This window comes from Homo sapiens, chromosome 2, assembly GCF_000001405.40.
Source record: "Homo sapiens chromosome 2, GRCh38.p14 Primary Assembly".
Lineage (NCBI taxonomy): Eukaryota > Metazoa > Chordata > Mammalia > Primates > Hominidae > Homo > Homo sapiens.
This window is the reverse complement of record NC_000002.12, coordinates 3,957,027-3,978,138: the sequence shown is the minus strand read 5'-3', so window position 1 is coordinate 3,978,138 and position 21,112 is coordinate 3,957,027. Positions and strand designations below refer to the sequence as shown.

The window sequence follows — 21,112 nt, the reverse complement described above, 5'->3', positions numbered from 1 at the left end:
CAGCAGTGGAGTTTTAAATACTTTGACAACATGGAAACTTGAAAGATCATATTTCTACAGAATGAGAACATGCTGCTAAATTGGAGATAGAAAAGAAATGCAAACTATTCTATAACATTTTGATTTTTTTTCTTATTTCTATTTCTTTCCAGTGGTTCTAAGATCTACCAGGCTGCTTATTGGTCATGATGGACTTATATAAAGAGCTTTCAGATTGTGTGGGCTCAAACCAGCTCAATGGAAGTCTATTTGTTGAGACTATGTTCAGTAACAACAATGTTTTTGCTAGGGAGCACCTGCTACTTTCCATTAGTTTTATTTTGAGGGAAACAGAAAGCACTTTCATCTCTGAATTGCAGTACATTTGATTTCCTTGGTTTTTAACTCAGAAAGAGTGACTGTGTGCCTTGAGAAATATTCACGGGAGCTCAAGGGATTAAAGAAAGAAATATCCAGATAAAATGTAAATGTAAAAAAAAATAAATTTACAAAAAGGTATGATACTAGTTACTTTTCATTTTAAAAAGCATTTCTTTTTTTGGAAATTTTGTTTTTCTTCCAAATGAAGACTGAATATATCCAGTCTACACTGGACATAACTTTCCAGGGAAGTTGTTTCCAACTACAGACTCTTAGAGGTCACAGACCACACTTCTGCCTGATCTCTGCTGTTCTTTTGCAGTTGCATGACTATTACTGTTCCTTTAAGTATTTGGAGTATTTTTACAGGAAAGGTGGTTTTTAAATTATCAAAATAATAAACTGAAGGAGATGTACACATCTCTCATTTACTGGTTTACATACAAGAGATGCCTTGCAACCAACTATCTGCCTTGTTTTCAAATGTTTTTGAAGTGGCTTCCAAGGCTGAATGTAATATCAGTACATAGGGCATGGGGCACAGCCGAACATTCACTGCCCAGGCCACCCATGGACAGAAAGTCACTCCATGAACTACAGCTGCGATTTCAGCACCACCCATGGACAGGAAGTCACTCCATGAACTACAGCTGCGATTTCAGCGCCACCCATGGACAGGAAGTCCCTCCATGAACCACAGCTGTGATTTCAGCGCCACCCATGGACAGGAAGTCACTCCATGAACCACAGCTGTGATTTCAGCACCACCCATGGACAGGGAGTCACCCCGTGAAATACAGCTGTGATTTCAGCGCCACCCACAGACAGGAAGTTACTCCTTGAACTACAGCTGTGATTTCAGCACTACCCATGGACAGAAAGTCACTCCATGAACTACAGCTGCGATTTCAGCACCACCCATGGACAGGAAGTCACTCCATGAACTACAGCTGCGATTTCAGCGCCACCCATGGACAGGAAGTCCCTCCATGAACCACAGCTGTGATTTCAGCGCCACCCATGGACAGGAAGTCACTCCATGAACCACAGCTGTGATTTCAGCACCACCCATGGACAGGGAGTCACCCCGTGAAATACAGCTGTGATTTCAGCACCACCCACAGACAGGAAGTTACTCCCTGAACTACAGCTGTGATTTCAGCACTACCCATGGACAGAAAGTCACTCCATGAACTACAGCTGCGATTTCAGCACCACCCATGGACAGGAAATCACTCCATGAACTACAGCTGTGATTTTAGCACCACCCATGGACAGGGAGTCACTCCGTGAACTATAGCTGTGATTTCAGTGCCATGAATATGGCACTTGCTATGTAAACACTGTCTGCTGGCAAGTCATCAGAGTGTACCTGTGTTTTCAGAGCCTCAGCTAAATTGAGACTCTCATTCCAGAGTGGCTGGCAACTCTGCCCTAATGGGAGATGAAGGGGAAGCTGAGTGTGAGCAGTTACAGAGCACCTTTCATGGAATGCCTCTTTTACCTGTGGATGGCCTCACACCTCGTTGTTCAACCCACAACCAGGGAGTCCCTCACATGGGAAACGTGTTTATACTAGCAGACACCCGTGGCTCTTGTCTGACCCGTGCTCAGTTTATGCCTGTCTGGCCATTGCTGTGGTGCTGGGAGTCCAACCTTCTGTCCCCACCGACTGCCTCCCTGGCATCCCAGGCAAAGCCCAGCCTGAGGCAGTCCCTGGTTCTTCAGTTGGAAAACACAAAATCATTCCACACAACAGGAAACTAGCTCAAAGATTTACTACTTACAGATGCAGACGGGAGGGTGTAAGAAATTGGAGGGCAGTCCTCCGTCCCCCGGTCACGTGCAATGGGATGAGAGTCAGGCAGAGAGAGTGAGTGGGAACCAGCAGTATGTTTACATATATATGTGGGTGGGTGTGGGTGTGGGTGTGTGTGTGTAAGGGAATAGCGTGTGGGAATGATTTACATACTTTTAAGTTCTTGGGCAAAGGCCTGAATGGTCCATTTAAAGGAAGACTGGGTTGGGCGCAGTGGCTCACACCTGTAGTCCCAGCACTTTGGGAGCCTGAGGAGGTCAGATCACTTGAGTCCAGAAGATTGAGACCAGCCTGGGCAATATGGCAAAGCCCCATCTCTACAAAAGAAATACAATTTTTAAAAAAAGCTGGGTGTGGTGGTGCGTACCTGTAGTCCCAGCTACTGGGTAGTCTGAGGTGGAAGAATCACTTGAGCCTGGGAAACGGAGGTTACAGTGAGCCAAGATCTCATCCCTGCACTCCAGCCTGGATGACAGGGTGAGACTTTGTCTAAAAAGGAAGCCTGGGCAGGAAAGCAGAAGCTCTACTTGCTGGGTGAGAAATGCCTCTAAATTCTGAATCTTGAGCCACCAGCTTGAGCCACTTTGGTGTGGTGTACAACTAGAAACTGTGTCAAGAATGACCGAGACTTACTTCTGGTCTGCGAAAGTTAAACTGGTATTCAAAATAGATGCTGAGGCCACACAAAATTATAAGAATTTACTACAATCTGATAATGCAGACAATGATTTGTTTCCATAAATGTTAATCTGTCTATCCATCTACGTAATACACACATGCCGTGTGCAATCCGGGACAAGTAATATTCTGAAATGAAATCCATTTAATTGTGAGCATGCTATAACCTCCAGAATGTGAACACATATTTGTCTTTTAACCTCTGGAGCTCAGCACCTACCCAGCTGCAGAAGGGAGCTCAGAGTGTGTTTCCTGATTGAAAAATATTTAACAAACTATGGCAGCCTCTCAGAGGGCCGTCAGCAGTCAACTTCTGGTTCTGTGTGGTGAGTGAAACTGTGTGGTGTTTGCTGGGTTCATCCTGGCATGCTGTGACTTGGGTCTTCTTCGTTGTGATGGTTCATGAAATGCTTCATCATTTGCAGAGACCATATGTCGTCCTGGTGGCTTCTGGGGACTCTCTTAGACTCCAACTTTGCAAAAGTAGATCCAAAACACCCAGTAGTGATCAACCCATCCTTGATTATAATTTCAGTCGATAGATTTAAGACAAGCAGCTCTTACCATCCATGCTTCTGTCCCCCAGTGACTAAGAGCAACCCACCTACGGCCATGGAGCTTGGAACACCGTGGTAAGTCCTAACCTGCCCTTGCCGCCCCGGGATTCTGAGTGGGGCTTACATGTGGAGATTTCCCATGGGAAGTTTAGATCTCGGGCTGCCCACCTACCTGCAAGATGACAGGAGGCTCTTTGACTCCTTTCCAAAAGAAGAAATAATATATGATATCAATACATCTGTGTCCATCTAGATAGATATCTAGCAAACTTCTTTATAAAATAGCTTCTAAAGAAAAGCAATCCGAACTAGTTTTATCAAGTGCAGAATGCTGGGAAACACAGGTCATTCGCAAAGCTATCTGGGATGGAGTAACTTTCACAAAAAAGGGAAAGAAAATAAAAAAAAAAAGAGAGAGAGAGAGAGAGCAGATCACGATAGAGGGAGAGATGGACACCACACCCAGCACCGTGTAGCTGCCTCATGCTCCATCCAAGCCAGGGGTGCCAATACCACATCCCCTTCATAAAGATGAAGAGACTCGTCCTCAGGGGGGCGGAATCTGATGGAGGTTACCGAGGCAGCGAATTACTGACCTAAGATTCTAACTCCAATCTTCTGATTCCAAAGCCTTTGTTACTTGCTCCACCCCACAACTGCCTCACAAGCATCCCAGAGTCCAGTCAGCAGACAGCAGAAGAGACTGTCAGCAGACCACCTTGGAGGGGATGCTTGGAGCTGCCTAACGTGTGATTCAAAGATGAATTCCATGTGTTTGGAGAAGAAGCCCTAGCCTCAACACAAAGGTTGGCCACATTCCAGCCAAGGTAGCACGGAGTGAAGGCCCGTGGAGGGAGAGCTGGGCTTTTCTGAACTACTTCAGTACACCTTGCTGTGCCTTGGCCTGCCGTGTTTCATCCCCATGGCTGTCCTCAGTGATGTGCATGGTCACTGCTCCCTTCACCACTGAGAAGACGGGCACAGGACAGTCAGGGGATGTGTCCAAGGTCCCACAGCAGGAAGGGCTGGAGCCAGAATGTGGTCTGAGAGGCTGGATATACAAAGAGACAATGGCATGACCATCTGTACAAATGGAACTATGGCCCACAACCTGCAGCAGCCAGCCCAGGAAGCCAACCCGTCACCTGCAGCAGCCAGGATGGATGCTGGCCTGCCCTCAGTAAGTTACGCCTGTGGGAAGTCAGGCCCCTATCTCTAGCCCCAATCTAGGAATCAAGCAACCCATAAGAGTCAGTCCCAGATGCCCAAGACCTGGTTAATAACTCACAGCTGCCCCAACTCCTGCCCTGACATCCCACTGAGGACAAACCAAGAAAGACAAATGTGCTCCCCTTAAACGCACACGGGATGCCCCGATTCTAGTTGCCGCCCCAGCTTCCAGGCCAGCAGCCTCCACTGGGGCTCACCGGGTACCTTCCCTTGCCCTGGAAAGCTCCCACGCCCACACCGGGTGCCTTCTCTTCCCCTGGGAAGCTCCCACACCCAGCCTGCCTGAGTCGCTGCAAAAATGTAAGTGACAGTGGCCAGCTCTTTCGCTCTTACTCCAGCTGGAGATAAGCAGCCTCTGTCTGTCCTCGTTTGGGCACCTTGCTCCTTCCCAGGAGTCTGAGAGACTCTCCTGCCCCACAGTGTGGGCTCCACCACCCTCCTGCCTGCTGTGGGAAATCAGGAGGGTGAAGGTGAAGCTGGACTTGGCCCAGAGGTGCCCACAGGGACGCCCAGAGCTGCACAAGCTCCCTCCATCTTGCCTCTGGGACCAGCTCTGCATTGCTCCAAAGCCCTCATCAGTGTCTGCTTTCTGTTGCAATAACTGAATACCTGAGATTGGACAATTTATAAAGAAAAAAATTATATCTGACAATTCTGGAGGCTGGAATTCCATGGTTGGGGGTGCATCAGATGAGGGCCTCCCCTCTGCACCATGACTTAGCCGAGGGCATCACATGGCAAAGGGTAGGGGTGTTGCCCTGCCGTCTCTCTTCCTCTTCCTACAAAGCTGCCAGCCCCGTCGGGGCCCGCCCTGATGACCTCATCTAACCCTAATCACCTCCCAGAGGCCCCACCTCCAAATGCCATCAGCATTTGGACTTGAGGATTAAGGTTCCAAGCACATAGGCATACACATGCACACATCACACACACAACACACACACTCACACACAGTCATACACACAACACACACATACACATGCACACAACACACACATACAGAAGTGGGGCCAACTTATTGACATTTTGTCTACACAGCTCTGGCCAAAGCACTCCTGAGCCGAGGCTCGGCACTGCCGGGCAGCCGTCACAGTCAGACCAGCAGGGGCCACTGGAGCTGTGGACGCAGCCTCGGGATAGATGCAGCGGGGCCCCACGCCTCTTCCCCTGGTTTAAATGTTTATCCAAAAAAGAAAAACGTAGCTTGAGATTTCACTCTGTGTGGCACGGACACGGTCACACACAACACACATACACAACACACACTCACATGAATCACACACACACACACGCACCACACACAACACGCACACTCACAGTCACACACGCACACACAACACACACATACACCACACACAAGTCACACACACACTCACATGCACCACACACATGCACACACCACACAACATGCACACTCACAGTCACACACACACACAACATACACATACACCACACACAACAGTCACACACACACAACACACACTCACATGCACCACACACACACATGCACACACCACACACAACATGCACACTCAGTCACACATGTACACACAACACACACATACACCACACACAACACAGTCATACACACACATGCACACACACATGCACACACCAGACACACCATGCAAAAAGTCATACACATATGCACACACAACACGCACACACATCACACACATTCACACATGCACACACAACACACATGCACATGTACACACATACACATGACACATTTGCACACCACACAATACACACATGCACACACGCACTCATTCACACACATACACATTTGCACACCACATACACAACCCACACATTCACACACATACAACACACTGTCTCACACATGCACATACAACACACATACAACACACACATACACAACACACATTCACATACCACATATACGCACCACACACAACACACACATGCACATACCACACACATTCACACACACATGCACACACACCACACACAGTATTCACACATGCACACACATGCACATTTCCACACACATACACATACCACACACACATTCACACACATGCACACACATATACCACACACAACACACACATTCACTCACCACACACACCACACATTCACACACAACACACACGCATTCACACACCACATAACATAACACACACATACAACACACATTCACACAGCACACGCATTCACACACACACCATCCCAGTGTCCTCCCCTGTCCTCCCCTTTCCCCTCACAGCCTGCTTAAAAATACAGCCTTGCTCCCTGTAATCTAAGCCCAAACCGCCAGGACCTTCAGGGAAAAATCCCTCAATGGGGAAGCCAGTTGGAAAAGAAACAAGTGCCTGGCAGCCACACAGAGTGAAATCTCAGGCTACGTTTTTCTTTTCTGGATAAACATTTAAACCAGAGGAAGAGGCGTGTAGCCCCGCTGCATCTATCCTGAGGCTGCGTCCACAGCCCGCGTGGCCCCCACTGGTCTGACAGTGAGGGCTGCACGGCAGTGCCGAGCCTCAGCTCAGGAGTGCTTTGGCCAGAGCTGTGCGGACAAAATGTCAATAAGTTGGCCCCACTTGAAAACATGATAAAAGTCTGAAGCTGACGCTGCAAGATGTGACTCTAGCCTGGTGTTCTGTAATAGGGAGCGGAGTGGACGTGGGAATACCAGCTTCTTTCACCATTTTCGCCTGTCCTAAGTTGTGTGAGTTTTTCTCTTTAAAACCCTGGTCTTCACCCTTCACTCCCACTTCGTCCAATGTCTTTCTTGGACACTGAAAATTACTTCGCACAACTTTTTATTTTTTAACTTGGAGCAATTGAGAATATCAGAGAAAGGTAAATTCCTCAATGACACCAGATGATCCATTTAAGAACAATACAAAACCAATACGTGTATTACATTGCCAGAAGTTTCAAGCCCAATTTTATGAACGGTGACCCCTTTCCACATTAGAGAAAACAGATAGATAAGCACTTGGATAGCCAAGTCAATAAATAGAAAGACAAAGCCAAACTTTGATTATCTGCATTTATGGAAAGATCAGTACAGGTAAGTCAAAACCACAAAAGTACCCAAATCTCATTTGAGATTTTACGATTTATGTCAACTTTCCTTCCATCAACCTTTTGTAGGAATATATTGAAGGGGGGAGGATACGGAAAATAGAAATACTACCTTTTAAAAAACAATGCCTAAATACCTTTGTTTTTCCCTTTCTTCTGGAAGTACACATGCATAGTAAAGTAGAGTCCTCGTGAACCAAACATTTCCATTTTGGAGTAACACACGAGTCACACACAGCTGATTCAAATCTTGACTGAGCAACTGAATTAGCAGTGAAGCCTTGGAGAAGTTTCTTAAATGTCCTAAATTCATCTTCTTTTTCTAGAAGAGAGAATAATAGTCCTATCTCTCAGGGTGTGGGCATCAGCCAGGCACAAGGTAGACACTTGCCAATCACAGGGCTGACTACTGACTCATACCCTGTGAGGGTGGGCAGTGCCTGCAAGCGGCAGTTTCTAAACAAGCAAAGGCAGCGCAGAAATACGCCAGACCCACGGTTTCTATCACCAAAGCCAAGCCCGCTGCACGGCCATAGAGAAGAGGGTGTGCGTCTTCCCTCCTCTTCCACATGGACTCCAAAACTGCTCTTTTGAGAACTTCCCACTGTCTGGGTGCCCTTGCATTAATGAGACTCAGCTTGGCCACAGACAGGAAGGACCAGGAAGCAACAGTGTTCCCACCTGGGTCCCTACCCCACAGAAGGGACTGTCCTGCATCTGTGGGGGGCAGCAGGGCAGAGGGGGAGGAAAAGTGTTAGCCAGGGTTCGGAGGACCCTAATCCAAGTGCACCTCCATTCCAAAGAGGTGTAGATGTTCTAGAAACTGAAATTGGACCTCCCTGAGTTCCAATTTCCTTTGTTTGCAAAGAGCATAATCCTGAGTTATCTTTAAAGCCCTGGCATGGGCTTTGAAGTCAGACAGATGTATTTTGAGCATGGTCTGTGTTGCTATTTACCAGACATGCAAGCTCGGGCAACTGGTTTACATTCCTGAGCCTCACTGTCCCCTTTTGAAAATCCCCTTACCCGAAACCATTGCTATGGAAACAAATAATAGACATAAAATACACAGGAATAAGAGCTCACTCGATGATAGCTGTTATCGCTGTTATTGGCATCTCCATTATCATGATGATGATGATTACAAACCCAAATAATTAAGACATAAAGTAAAGATGAAAAAACACGCTGAGCTGACTCCTGGACCTGGGGCTCCATAAACCTTGGCTGTTCTTATTATCAGAGCTCTCGTTACTCCCTGCATAGCCCTCCATGGCTGTCTAGAGGCCAGCGTTCCCTCTGTAAATTGTTATCATTTCTCTTTAGTGGGAGCCCCCTTGCAGGGAGATCACAGCCAGAGGGAGAGGTAATGCTCTGGACAAGGCCAGTCCCAGATGGCAGGAGGCAGGACAGCACGTGCCTGGGAGGGAAAGACGGGGCTGGGGGGGCTTGGACACTTGCTGAAACCCCCCAGCCTGAGCACGTTCTGAGAGGAGACGCCTGCCATTCCTCAGTCAACACCCGTGATGCCTCAGCACCTCTGCATTACCTCCTTCTTGCTCCCTGCCTTGCCCTCAGACCTGGAGCTCCTGAGCCACTCCTTGTCTTTGGCCCCAAGACCTGTGGTATCTTCCCTTCAGCTCCTCTGTCTCCTCCACCCTTCCGATGCCCCCTCCAGGTGCCTATTGTATTAGTCCATTTTCACGCTGCTGTAAAGACATACCCAAGACTGGGTAATTCATAAAGGAAAGAGGTTTAATTGACTCACAGTTCCGCATGGCTGGGGAGGCCTCAGGAAACTTACAATCATGGCAGAAGGTGAAGGGGAAGAAAAGTATCTTCTTCCCAGGGGGGCCAGGAAGGAGAAGTGCAAGTGGGGAAATGCCAGACGCTTATAAAACCATCAGATCTCCTAAGACTCACTCACTATCATGAGACCAGCATGGGGGAAACCGCCCCCATGATCCAATCACCTCCACCTGGTCCCGCCCTTGACCGGTGGGGATTACAATTCTAAGTGAGATTTGGGTGGAGACAGAGCCAAACCGTATCACCCATCCTGCCTCTCGGTGCTTGATTCTCATGCTCACTGTACCTTTTCTTCTCCCCTCCCCTCCCCTTCCCTCCTCTCCTCTCCCCTCTTCTCAAGGGTGCCCTTGTTGGAGAACATGGGGGGCCAAATTCCAAACGTGGCAAGAGATAACAAATGACTTGTCTGGTGGCTGAACCCTGAGCTGGGAGCACTGCCTGGAGAAAACTGTAAGCCCTCTGCCATCCTGTGCCAGGCCAGAAGGCACCTCACTACAGAATTCAATTATAGCAACAACAATCACATGGAATAATAATAAATCAGTAGTTATAGGCCAGGCACACTTGTAATCCCAGCACTCTGGGGAGCTGAGTCAGGAGGACTGCTTGAGGCCAGGAGTTTGAGACCAGCCTGAGCAACATAATGAGACAACATCTCTACAAAAAATACAAAAATTAGCTAGGCATGGTGGCGCATGCCTGCAGTCCCAGCTACTTAGGAGGCTGAGGCAGGAAGATCACTTGAGCTGGGGAGTTTGATGCTACAGTGAGCCGTGAGCACACCACTGCACTCCAGCCTGGGTGACAGAGTGAGACCCTGCCCGCAACTCAAAAAAAAAAAAAAAAAAAAAACCGTTATTACACATTGACTGTTCCAGGCACTATCCAAAGCACTTTGGGTAAATTATTTTCTGTAATCTTCATCATCTAGAGGCTGAATAGGCAGACTCCAAGCACTGTCATGCTGCAGTGGATGGTAAATGAGTGCTCGGCTACTCCAGGGAGCCTCAGGAGCCAGACAGTCTTTTTTTTTTTTTTTTTTTTTTTTTTTGAGACGGAGTCTCCCTCTTTCGCCCAGGCTGGAGTGCAGTGGCATGATCTCAGCTCACTGCAAGCTCCGCCTCCCGGGTTCATGCCACCCTCCTGCCTCAGCCTCCCAAGTAGCTGGGACTACAGGCACCCACCACTACACCTGGATAATTTTTTGTATTTTTAGTAGAGACAGGGTTTCACCGTGTTAGCCAGGATGGTCTCCATCTCCTGACCTCGTGATCCGCCCGCCTCGGCCTCCCAAGGAACCAGACAGTCTTTGGAAATGGTCTTTGCAGTGAGACCTAGATCATCGTCTTACAGGCACCAGACAAAAGTGGCAAGAACTCTAGTGGGTGAGTTGGCAGGCCAAGACACAAGCCCCAGGTTTAACATCAACAGACTGAAAGGTGCTTGGCAAACTACTTCGTCTCATTGCTAATATTAAATGGGGCTGGACAATCTCTGAGGTTTTTAAGGCTTCTAGATTTTTAGAAACTTCTACTTTTACATCCAGAGACCTTCACATAATTAAAAATCAATATCCTCCCTTAGAGGAGGAACAAGTGAGGTACCAGCATCATTATTGGCAAACATTATTTCACACCTCTAGTGCAGCTTGATAAACACACGGAGTGTGTGAGAGATAAATGCTGCTCACTAATGCATCCAGTTCTCCCCCTTGGGAAATGTAGACTTGTATTTCCTGCCTCTCTGAAGTTAGACGTAGCCACCTGACTTGCTTTCACCAATGAAATATGAGCAGAAGTAGCTTGTATTTCTTCTAGACAGATGCCTTTCAGAATGAATGCACGATGCACAATTTCCTCTTCCTCTTGCCTGGTGACAGGGGATGTCCCAGAGCTCCTGCCCACCATAAAGCGACACACAAATGAACAAGAGATACACCCCGAGAGCTGGGGCTTGCTTGTTACTGCAGCGTATGCAGGCTGTCCTGACTGATACACTGAGCACCTTGCAAGTGCCAGGCACATTTCCAGGCTCAGGAGATGCCACTGGTGAGGGCAGCTGCTGTTGACGAGCACCCCCTTGTCAGGCAACACCTGAGTTCTTTCAGGAAGACAGTTGAAAAGTTACAGGAGATTGGAAGAGACATCCTGAGATAGTCCACAGTGGAGCTCTGTGGTCAGGACATGCCAGCACCCTGTCAATGTCACAGTGCAAAGCCAACTGACTCCATCATAAGGGACTGTCAGTGTGTGTGAATGCCACCTACACCAGCCAGTCCTGTCTGCCATAAGGACTATAGTGACACAAAGGAGGCAGGAAGGGAGGGCCCCTGTGTGATTAGCTCTTACACGCAGTCCCTTAGGCATTTGTCTGAGTGGATCATCTGCTGTAGACAGAACAGATTGGGTCCTTAGTGCACATTCAGGGCAAATGGAACTGACTACCTGTATGCAGCATTCATGCTTTTAGCAAAGCTTTCTCACTGCATAGCTATTTGGCTTGTTAAGCCTGCAATTCTGGGTCTGGGCCAAGACATGGGGAACAGTGATGCTAATGAGAACACCAAAGAAACACAGCAGTAAGCGGCGAGCCACAGCCGCCTATTACCTTCACACCTGCCACATTCCCTTCAGTGTAAATTGACTCGCTGTCCCATCCATCCTTATCATCTCTCTGGGGTTCAGGTCTCCAGAAATGTCCCGGCCTCTACTCACATATCTATACAACATGCCATTGATAAGGCAGTCGTTAAACAACTAGCATTTTGCATTCTGAAGTGAAAATTAAAAATGCACAGTCCTTTTTAATTCAATTTCTAATTAGTGCACTATATACAACCCAGAATGATGGCAAATTGATAAAATATGCAAATGAAGCAACAATTCATAGACTATATTAAAATTTCCATTTAAACTGTTAGTTAAGCTATACACATTTGTAAATGTAAACATTAACCCTCAGGAAAAATATTTTCTAAACTACAGCATAATTGGAAACTCCAGAATCATATACAACAGAAAAGAGATCATTACACAGACGTGTACCTTTATCGCCATAAATAAAAGAACATTTCCACAGAGTTGTTGCTTCCTCTCGGCTGCTCCCACAGCACTTTCCCTGGCTCTCCGTGGAGCCATTGTTTATAGCCTCCTCCAGGGTAGGCAGTGGGGTACGCATCTGCCTCCTGAGCCAGCAAGCCATGCCCTCAAGGGCAGCACGAAGCCTGGCCCATCCGTACTCCCCGTATTGCCCAGAGCACAGGAGGTGCTTGCAGCCCTCCGCTGAACTGGTTGAAATTGAACAATATGGAGTTGAACTGAATTGGATCAAATTTAATGAAATTAAATGGCACGTGATGTCTGTAGGTTTCCATTTTAGAAGCTATGCAATGAAGTCCAAATTCCCTCCTCTTCTACCAGATGAAATGCCTCAGGCCAACATGCAAGCAAGCCTGGGATCAGGAGATGCTCAGGATGGAACAATCCACAAACTGAACCAGGCTGCCTGTCCACAGGTGCACTAACCACCTTCCCACCCAGGAAGGTGTTGGAACCCCACTCTCAATGGAGAAAAGGTACTCCTGGACCAGCTGGCACAGCCCCTCTCGTAAGCCCTCCCAAAACCCCTCAATGTGAAGGATCTCTGCTAATGTGAGGCCGAACAACACAGGATTCAGAATCTTCAAAACAGCTGCTGTGACCTGTTATTTTCATCAGTCTCTACAAATAATTATATCATAATTTATGTTGAGGAAAAGGTGGCTTTCAAGAAAAGTATACTTAGCTGTTTTTTACCTGACAATGAAAAACACAAAAATCTTCTATTTTTACCCGATTTTGCCTAACGTGCTAGAAAGCTTAGAGCAAAACAATGTACAAGAGTGGTCAGCACCCCTTGATCTCCAGTTCTTGGTTGGGTATTGCCATCTCTCTTCTACTTGGTTTCTTCTTTCTTCTTTCTTTTTGAGACAGAGTCTTGTTCTGTCACCCAGGCTGGAGTGCAGTGGCACTATCTGGGCTCACTGCAACCTCCACCTCCTGAGTTCAAGCAATTCTTGTACCTCAGCCTCATGAGTAGCCCAAGTAGCTGGGATTACAGGCGCCGCCACCACACCTGGCTAATTTTTGTATTTTTAGTAGAGATGGGGTTTCACCACACTGGCCAGGCTGGTCTTGAACTCTTGACCTCAAGTGATCCACCCGCCTTAGCCTCCCAAAGTGCTGGATTACAGGCATGAGCCACCACACCCAGACTCTTATTTCTTTTCTGTTGTTGTTGTTTTACTATATTCTCTACTGGTATTTATTGAAAATAGTCTCTATTTCCTTTTGAAAGTATAAAGGCAATAAATAATACATAAACCAAAATAGAACAAATATCGAACTATATTAGAACTGCTGAGCAAGAAAAGCTGTGCTAGCTGCCCAAACGCTGCCATAAACTCCACACTTCCTTCCGTCATGTCAAAATTCATAAACAGGTAACAAATTATATTGGGAAAATAAGATTATAATTTTAGCATTGAAAAAAGACAAATGATTTGGAAAACAGCATTAGTGATTTTCCAAAAGACCCATGAATTAATAATCTATAAATAGGAACCGCATTCCCATGCATTGCCAGGCATTCTAATCACCTCTGCAAAAGACTAGTCAATAAGAGGGAAAAAATTGGTGTTTTAAGGGGGAGGAAGAAGCAGAGATGGAAACTGTCGTTATTTGAATTCAATTGTGTTTCAAGTGATGTTTTGTAGAGTGTTCTGCGTACAGTATCTGTGGGATAGGGTCATAATTCTTATTTTATAGGTGAGACCAATTTTACCAAGGCACAGAAATAAGTAACTCGGCCAATATCCTAGCATCAGAAGAAATCATAAATGATCCATCCAAGGTTAAGTCCTAAGGTTTTCTCTCCAAAAGGTGCCATGTACCATTAGTGACTCCAAAATCCTTTCAAATGTTCTGTGTGCTTCACATTGATTATAACATTTTATCCTCCTACTAACTGTAGGTAGAAGTTAGACTAGGAATCCGCCCATTTTGGGAGTGAAGAAACTGAAGCCAAGAGGCGTATGTGCCTGACTGGGTCATAACCAGGCTCTGATATTTCACAGCAGAACTACACTCCAGCTCTCTCTATCCCGGGGCTAGAACATTGTCACGCAGCTTCCTTTGCACCATCCTGTAGAAAAGCGAGGACTTGAGTCTTAAAGACTCACCTTCCAGCTGCTCATTCCAGGAGAGGGAAGAGTCTAATGTGCCTGCATGCACGTTATCCTACCGAGAGTGTTCATATGTGATTTTATGCCCCTTCCCTCCACGCTAGACTTAGCAACAATATTTTTTAAATGTGGGTAAGGCTTTGGGGATAAATCCAGAAATGTGTTCTGTCCCCCAGATGCAATTACAATGCATCCAGCCTGTGTGTCAAGCTCCTAAGCCTTCTGAAAATATCTTCCTCCTGACCATTTTGTAAGATAGCAGAATCAAGAAAACAAAATTCCAGGAAAGAGGAGGTTAACTGGATGCCTGATTGCCTCCAAAAAGCAATTAAGACTCAAGCAGAAAGTTCCAGTTGATACTGAACCAGTTCAGCCCTGGTATCGCCAAGCCCATGAAATCCCAGAGCTGCCCTGCCTCAGTATAGACTGACATGTTTCTAATGGCCATGATGATGCATATTCAGCAGCGTAAACACCATTGGCCTTTCCTAAATCAATATTCATGGAAACCCTCAGGCAATCAATATGCAGAGGGTAAGCCTTCCCCAGGGTAGCTTCTGCTACAAATGGCAGCAGGCCCCTCCCACCCTCTAAACCCAGGCATCATGCACTTCCTTGACGCACACTAAGTCTTCAAAACGCATGCCTGGGGCTGCCCTCTTGTCATATACACATTGATTCACGTAGAAAACTCTTCAACCTCCCTAACAGAAACGTACCTCGCCCACCACTCATCAGAGATTTTGGCTGAGGGTTATAAACTGAGCAGCCTATTTTTGTTTTGTCTTTGATTTTTTGTAAGTTTAACTGAGCTCCATCAGGTAGTTCTAATAAGTCTAATTCCAACTTGCAGGGGAGGGGTAAGGACTGGGGGACTCATGGTCTCCATGAAGCTAAGCAAGGAGGAAGATAAGGATGCCTTCAGCTAGCACAATGCCCAGCCACCCATAACTGCTAAAGAAATCTTTTTTAAAAAAATCTTATTTTTAGTATTTGTGGGTACACAGTAAGTGCATTTATTTATGGGGTATACGAGAGATTTTGACACAGGAGTACTGTATTAGTCTATTCTCACACTACTAATAAAGATATACCCGAGACTGGGTAATTTATAAAGGAAGGAGGTTTAACAGACTCACAGTTCCACGTGGCTGGGGAAGCCTCACAGTCATGGCAGAAGGCAAAGGAGGAACAAAGTCACGTCTTACATGGCAACAGGCAAGAGAGTGTGTGCAGGAAAACTCTCATTTATAAAACCATCAGATTTCATGAGACTTATTCACAAACACGAGGACAGTATGGAGGAAACCATCCCCATGATTCGATTACCTCCACCTCACCCCCCCTCCTTGACACGTGGGGATTATTACAATTCAAGGTGAGATTTGGGTGGGGACACAGCCAAACCATATCACATACAACGTGCAATAGCCACATCTGGATAAATGGGGCATCTAGAGAAATGCTTTCAGGAACAAAAGAGAAATTGAGTGAAATCCTCCTGTTCTTGCAGCTGATACTCAAGTCTAGTTTTATATGGCTCCAAACGCCTCCACCATGAGCTCAAGGCAGTGAGACTGACTGAAAAACCCTCTCTATTACAGACCACAACATTGAACCCAACATCCCCCTAAGTAGGTGAGTGGTTAAAAGCAAAGGAGTCCCTGGAGGTCCTTGTGTTAAGTGAAATAAGCCAGGCACAGAAAGACAAATATCCCAAGCTCTCACTCAAATGTGGGAACTATAAAAAAAAAAAAAAAAAGGGTGATCTCATGGAGGTCGAGAATAGAATGATGGATACCAGAGGCTGGCAAGGGTGTGTGGGTGGGAGGATGTGTGGGTGGGATTGAACAGAGACGAGTCAATGGGTGTAAACATACAGTTAGACAAAAGGTGTAAGTTCCATTGTTCAATTCAGAGTGGCTGACTATAGTTAACAACAATGTATATTTCAAAGTAGCTGGAAGAAAGGACTTGAAATGTTCCCAAGTCATAGAAATGATCAGTACTTGGCTGGGCGCCATGGCTCACGCCTGTAATCGCAGCACTTTGGGAGGCCGAGGCGGGCGGATCACGAGGAAGTCAGGAGATCGAGACCATCCTGGCTAACACAGTGAAACCCCATGTCTACTAGAAATACAAAAAATTAGCCGGGCATGGTGGCGGGCACCTGTAGTCCCAGCTACTTGGGAGACTGAGGCAGGAGAATGGCGTGAACAAGGGAGGCGGAGCTTGCAGTGAGCCGAGATCACGCCACTGCACTCCAGCCTGGGCGACAGAGTGAGACTCCGTCTCAAAAATAAAAAATTTAAAAAAAAAAGAAATGATCAGTACTTGAGGTGATGGACACCCCAAATACCTTGACTTGATCATTGCGAATTCTATGCATGTAGCAAAATATCACATATACCCCATAAATACATAAAATATTGTGTATCAATTTTTAAAAAGCAAGGGACTCAGAAATGACCAGGTGTTAGTTGGGTGATTTTGTGTAGGCCATTTAACCTCCATTGGTGCTCCAGCTTTCTCATCTGTAAATTAGGGAAAACTTGGAGCACCTCCTGGGACTGTAGTGAGAATTAAATGAAATTGTGAAAATAAAAGACTGAACACAAGTCCTGCGCAGAGAAAGGATTCAGTTAATGGTAGCCGTCACTCTTCATCAGCCTGGAATGCATTAGATTCAGGAAACATAAGTGCTCATCTTTTTTTCTCCCTTTAAAGTAGAGGATACCAAGATACAGTGAGGAATTAGCACAGCTCCCGCAGGGGAGGTGTGGGCAGGAAAGGAGGGCTGAGAAAGGAGTGGCCAGGGACTGTCTAACTGGATTCCTTCTGTTTCCTGCAGGTTGTACTCACATCATTGGTCTTATGGGGAAATTTTAAGACCTCCCACTTGTAAGGTTTTATAGCCCTCTATGGAATATTGAAGAAAGAGTAAAATGCATCCAAAAAAAAAAAAAAACACTAAACTGGATAAATTCTAAGGCCTCTTCAGGTCTTAAGATGGCCATTTTCTAGGTCCTCTTGCTGCAGCAGTGAAATCCACAAACACGGACAAGTCAGTCAGTTACGTGCCTTTCAGAGAAAACTTCTGACTTAGGAATTCCAGCTATTTGGCCCAACCCATATTAGATTGTGTTATAAAGACATGGTAAATTACATCACGAAGGGAAGAGCAGAGGAAACATAATATTCCTTCAAGACCCATCAGCTCAGATGTTAGCAGAACACCCCTAAGGAGGAAAACAAGAAATTTTGGGTTTGAACTTGGTACTTCCCAGCAGCCCTGGGAGTGGGGTCAGAAGCCCTGCTGGGGGCCAAAGAACTCTGAGGATCAAAGATGTTGAGCATCACCTTAGAGGCCAAAGATCAGAACAGTGGAGGTGGCCTTTGAAGCCCAACCTGTCTTTCACCAGAGAGTGAGAACGGCCTCTATTTCCAGGAAGCTCACTGCAGCAATAATCATGATGCTCTGAGCCTGACAAGGTGAGAATTTACTTTCAGCACCTGCAATAGTTTCCTATTAAAGTTACATATGAAACCCTGCCGTCTTGTACCAACTAATGTTCACACCAGCGTTCCTATTTTCAAGATAAATTGCAAAATAAAAACTCTTGTTTTCGTTAGCAAAAGAAAACTTCTTTAGGAGGATAAAAGGGAGATGAAGAAACAGAAAACACATCAGCTCTCCATCCAGATTACAGAAAGCAGAAAACATCCTGAAGTGAATAACATAGGAATCGCTCTTTTTCCCCCCTGAGATAGCAGGTTACTTATGAGAAACAAGCTTGAAATCTCTGCACCTGGACCAGCTTCCAGAGGCTTTTGTCCTGACCAGGTGAGAGGGGAAAAAAAAAAAAAAAAAAAAAAAAAAAACTGATGGTCGGTCAGTGGGTAAACAGTGACACCCAGTGGTCACTTAGATAACCAGCTGTGCATTCTCCCAATTCAACTATCCACATAGAAAAAAAAATGGTCAAGTAGTATGCATTTTGTTATTCAACAGATATTTACTGAATAACTAGAAGATGCTAGATGTTATTCTATTCATTTTATACCACTCTTCAAATTACGGATGTTTCCCCACCGAAACCGACCCTCACAAAAGAAAAACTATCTGGGGCCTTGGATCCTCTTTCAAAGGCTCAAGGTGAGACCCACGGAGAGGGGTCAGCAAATTCCAAAGGAGATGCAGGGCTTTTCCCAGGGTCACAACCAAATCAAGGCGCCACGTGGCAGCCAAGCACGAGTCTCCAGAGGCTTCTCTCAGCGCTCCCATGGGAAAGGGTTTGTGCATGTTGGGTTCAGGCCACGTGAGCACCGCGGGCGTTGATCGTAGTATTAATACAAGGATAATTGCTCTTCCTGGCTTTCTTTGACTAACCTCCATAACTTGGTTAAGCCATGTTATCTTCTACTTTTATGATGAGTAAATTGTCATTTTCATCATTTCTTTGTAGCTGGCTTTGGGGAAGTAAAGGAAACCAGAGAAGAAGAGGCTGAAAGAATTGGTTTCCACCGTGACCTTTGAACCCTCGGGCGAGTTGTCAGCCTCACTGAGGATGAGTGTACTCCATATCAAGTGAGGTCACTTTACTCGCAAGCTTGTTGTGAGGACTGAATGAAACCTTTTCTTTTTTCTTGGAGTTTCAGAGCAACGTCCCTGAGCCCAGCCCCACACTGGCTTGAGCCCTGTCGTCGGTCAAGACACGGTGCTTTCTCCCCTCCCCTCTGCACTCCAGCTTACTCTGCAGTCAGGAGGTGGCACCACGATCCCCTTTAAGACTTTGCCACTTGGGCCAGCTGCGCCCCTGTGAAATTCCCTGTTTCTATTGCAGGCCACAAGGACGAGCTGAGAAATGGCTTCCAGTCACCATCTAGATTAGAAAGCCTATATTTCAAATATAGATATATCAATTATGCCTGTAAAAAGACATTAAATCCCACAGGGCTGTAATTCCTAGACTCTACGAATTTCATCTTGCACCAAATTTTATTATTTCATTTATAATTCGGATTCTTCAAATCTAAGAGTGCCTGGCTCAAAATTAAAATACCTACAACTATGCCAAAACTGGACTCTTTAATTGCCTTACTGGAACCAGTAGCTGATTCAAAGCAAAACGAAACAAAATTCCTCCTTTCTCTGATTTAGTGAATCAATGATCTAACTGAACTCATTTTTGGACTGAGTTTGCGGCACTTGCAGCCCTGAGGGACACATTCCCCCACCACACTGAGCCTGCACTCCCATCAATGCAAATGAACATTTTGCTTATTCAGATTGGGGGGGTGAAGGAAGTCACAAAAGGGTTAATACATATGGCATTTCATTGTAATATGTACTCACTACTAACTAAATTAAAAGAGATGTGAGTTATTAAAAACTCCATCTTAAGAAAGTAACAGAAATCAGAGTTCAGATTCGTTGTTACTGAGTTTCCAACCAACACCTGTGAGTTAAACCTACGGCCACCCTGAAAACGGTTCATATTTTCAAAAGCTTCATCGAAGATGAGCTGCACTAAAGATTCATATTACATATCATGCTGCAATAAGAAAATCAAATAAGGCCTTTCCATATTCAATAATAAAGTTTAAAGAAAAGTAATATTTGTTTAGCCAGTTAGCCAGAAATTAGATGTATCAGAATACATCATTCTTTGAGCATTTTAGAAAAATCAGGGTATTTCTACATTGTGTTTTTCTTTGTAAGCCCTCAAAAAATATAGAGAATATTCTTGAAATTATAGTGTTTGTCTTCTGGAACAAAAAATACTAATCAAGGAAATCTACAAATTTAATGGTTTATTGAGTTTCCACAGGAAACACTGTGTGAGGAGGCTGAGGCTTAGAAGTTCAAAAACTAAAAGGATTGTTATGATTTCGATAATAATATCTTATGTCTGCACAACATCTGAACTCAGTTCTTTCCTGAGGTTCTCTCATTCTTCAAGCAGCCTCTGAGGTAGGCAGGAGCGATAATATCGGTTCCATTTTACAGTTAGGAAAACAGAGGCTCACAGAGTCCCAAGGCTTAGCGGGAACGTCCGCCCTGCTCTCTGGGTTCTGAAGAACACAGTCGTGAAGGATGTAAGCCATTTCACATTTTAAGACGAAACAGATAACTTGTGCTAAATGCATGTCCCAGCCCTGCCCTGAGGGCAGGTGGGCACCCGGTGGCCTGCAGGGCTGACAATTGTGAGAGGGAAGCAAGCTGGGGAGGCTCCCTGGAGAGCTGGTGCAGAGCCTGGAGGACAAGGAAGATGTGGGGCACGCGGAGAAGGAGACAAGGAAGTCGAAGCGGGTAAGGGCGCAGGAGGCCGGATTTCCTGTGATGCTGGACACGTGGCAGGACGCGGGGAGAGCCCGTGG

General features: G+C 45.9%; 2 long non-coding RNA genes across 2 annotated transcripts; one reads left to right on the top strand and one right to left on the bottom strand.

Annotated features, from left to right (window-relative positions):
• Window positions 1-2,858: 2,858 nt before the first annotated feature.
• Window positions 2,859-3,978, bottom strand: LOC105373394 (uncharacterized). The gene is made up of 3 exons (NR_136322.1): window positions 3,877-3,978; window positions 3,587-3,615; window positions 2,859-3,330 (listed from the first exon to the last, which is right to left on the bottom strand). It is a non-coding gene; the product is annotated as an uncharacterized LOC105373394 (long non-coding RNA).
• A 128-nt stretch (window positions 3,979-4,106) lies between these two features.
• LINC01304 (long intergenic non-protein coding RNA 1304) lies at window positions 4,107-20,484 on the top strand. Its single transcript, NR_037881.1, has 3 exons — window positions 4,107-4,594; window positions 17,583-18,223; window positions 19,198-20,484. It is a non-coding gene; the product is annotated as a long intergenic non-protein coding RNA 1304 (long non-coding RNA).
• Window positions 20,485-21,112: the final 628 nt, after the last annotated feature.